The sequence below is a fragment of the Homo sapiens genome, chromosome 8 (genome assembly GCF_000001405.40).
Source record: "Homo sapiens chromosome 8, GRCh38.p14 Primary Assembly".
Classification (NCBI taxonomy): Eukaryota; Metazoa; Chordata; class Mammalia; order Primates; family Hominidae; genus Homo; species Homo sapiens.
Genome location: NC_000008.11, coordinates 35,828,343 through 35,830,833, shown reverse-complemented (window position 1 = coordinate 35,830,833; position 2,491 = coordinate 35,828,343). Strand labels below are relative to the sequence as shown.

Here is a 2,491-nt window from a genome sequence, read left to right as displayed (position 1 = left end):
CCACCATGTCTCTCTAATTTTTTTTTTATTTTTAGAGACATAGGATCTTGCTATGTTGCCCAAGGTGCTCTCAAACCCTCCTGGTCTCAGATGAACCTACTGCCTCAAGTTTTCCTTTAATTTTGGTTATCCATTATTCATTATAAGAGTGTCCAAATCCATTAAGTTTCCTCTATGCTAATTGTGTCTCTAAAACTAGATTGCATGCTCCTTGAAATCAGAAACCATATCTTATATTCTCTCTGTGTTTCATACAGAACCTAGCACAGTGCAAAGAACATAGGTGATTTTGTTGAATTATCTAATTCTTTGCATAGCTTCTGTCTCTTAATCAGGCTGTCCTGAACATTCACCTTCTGGCATTTGAAACACATTTTTTAAAGATTCAGAACAGAGAAATGTTTGATATATGATGAGAGGCTTGGTTGTTTGTGTTTCTGCTTTACAGCTTCTTGTGATTTGGGGCAATTTATCTTTCTTACTGCTATTCCAGCTCTGACCTGTCTCGGCTTCCATAGCCTGAATGTCACATCATTGATCTGACTTGGATTGTATCTTCCATGTGTCAGAAAAAGGCATCTACTCACAGTTTTTTTCAATCAGGCTTAATACATCTAACAATCCCTAAGCCCACCAGGTAGGTTAAGGAGAATTATAATTTTAATTGCATCTGTAACAGCATACTCGGCATTGAACTTGGTGGGAGTACCATGTAAAAACTCAAAGCAAAGATAATCATGCACTTAACCTTTGGCCTCATGCTGGTTTTTGCTTCACTCAGTTGGAATTGTTAAATGTATTAACATTTATGATTGGTGAAGTTTCTTTTTTCCATTCTCCAGTTTAAGTGAACAAATAGGTGGTGGGGGCATTCCACTTCAATTAGGCACTTATTCTTTCCTGTGCTATGAATTGCCCTTGCCAGATAAATCCTTTTCTTTTTATGAATATGTCTCATTATCTACTTGTAGATTCACTCCTTTTCTTTTTTTCTTCCTTTCTTTATTGCAGTAAAGTACAAATATAAATTTTAAAAAGTTAAATGGTACTTCCAAACTTATACTGAAAAATAGCAATTTTCTTCTCCATCCTATTCACTCCCAATTCTTCTTCCCCTGAGGAAACGCCTTTCAACTTTTTTAGCTATTCTTTTATTTTTACTTCTGTATTTGTAGATACTGTTGTTATACTTTTCCTTGAAAATTTTTAGCTTTACATATTTTCCATTGAATGCCTACTAGACAGGATAAGACTTCAATTCTTTTGAATACTTAACAATACACCCACCCAACCACCCACACATAAACAAATGCATGCATGCATAACACAACCTCATTCACTCATAATACACTATTTTTTCAATATAGTTATTCTTTTCTTTCAATATAGTTATATCACATTTTTTGTTAGATCAATATTATGTGTTTATATTACTAGTGTCAGGCCTCTGAGTCCAAGCCTGCACATATACATCCAGATGGCCTGAGGCAACTGAAGAACCACAAAAGAAGTGAAAATGGCCGGTTCCTGCCTTAACTGATGACATTACCTTGTGACATTCCTTCTCCTGGACAATAAGTATCCAGAGCTCCCCACCGAGCACCTTGTGACCCCTGTCCCTGCCCGCAAGAGAACAACTCCCTTTAACTGAAATTTTCCACTACCTACCCAAATCCTATAAAACTGCCCCACCCCTAACTCCCTTTGCTGACTCCTTTTTCTGACTCAGCCCGCCTGCACCTAGGTGATTAAAAAGCTTTATTACTCACACAAAGCCTGTTTGGTGGGGTCTTCACACAGATGTGTGTGACAACTAGGATTTTGAAACAATCATTCACAGCTGAGCCATGTATAACACAATCACATCTTATTTCCAGTACAGTAGTAAGTCCTGAGGTCCCTTATTACCTCATTTTAATTTGGCTTAGTTATCTCTATATTAATCACAAATATGTCTCCAGATTCACTAATAGTTTTGATGATACCCCCTGAATATATTCAAATATGTTGGATATTATATCTGTTTTATTTTCTTGGCAGAAGTACAGTTTCTGGAACTCAGAGGCTTCTGGCTTCAATTCTGATTCATTGCTTTCTAAGTTTGAAGTGTACCAAACATCCTGAAACTATCTTTCTCTAAAATCCTGGAAATCCCTTTTGCTTCTCATTTGTTTTGGATCCTTATTTTTAGTATTCCGTTTTTCCATTTCTGGTTTTCTCTTTCGTTTTCATAAGCATATCTTCCAGGAGTTTCCTAGGAAAAGAAAATTTTGAGACATTTCCTGTCTGAAAATGTTTTTATTCTATCCTCCCAACTTAGTGATAGCTTGGCGAGGTATAGAATTCCAGGTTCTAAATTATTTTCCTTGGAATAGAGAACTTCAGTGATGTCCTTTCTCTGAAAACATATAGTAACTTCCATTTTAGGAGTTTGAAATTCTGAAATTTCAAAGTATAGCTTTAATTGCAGACCTTTAATATTTTTTATTCA

At 35.9% G+C, this 2,491-nt stretch overlaps 1 annotated feature.

The window, feature by feature from the left end:
- Positions 1,011-2,210: an enhancer, noted in NCBI's record as "CDK7 strongly-dependent group 2 enhancer chr8:35686142-35687341 (GRCh37/hg19 assembly coordinates)". NCBI's record gives its function as "activates an origin of replication core promoter dependent on BRD2, BRD4, P300/CBP, MED14 and CDK7 cofactors, with strong dependence on CDK7, by STARR-seq in HCT116 cells {active_cell/tissue: HCT116}" and the evidence as "EXISTENCE:reporter gene assay evidence [ECO:0000049][PMID:35650434]".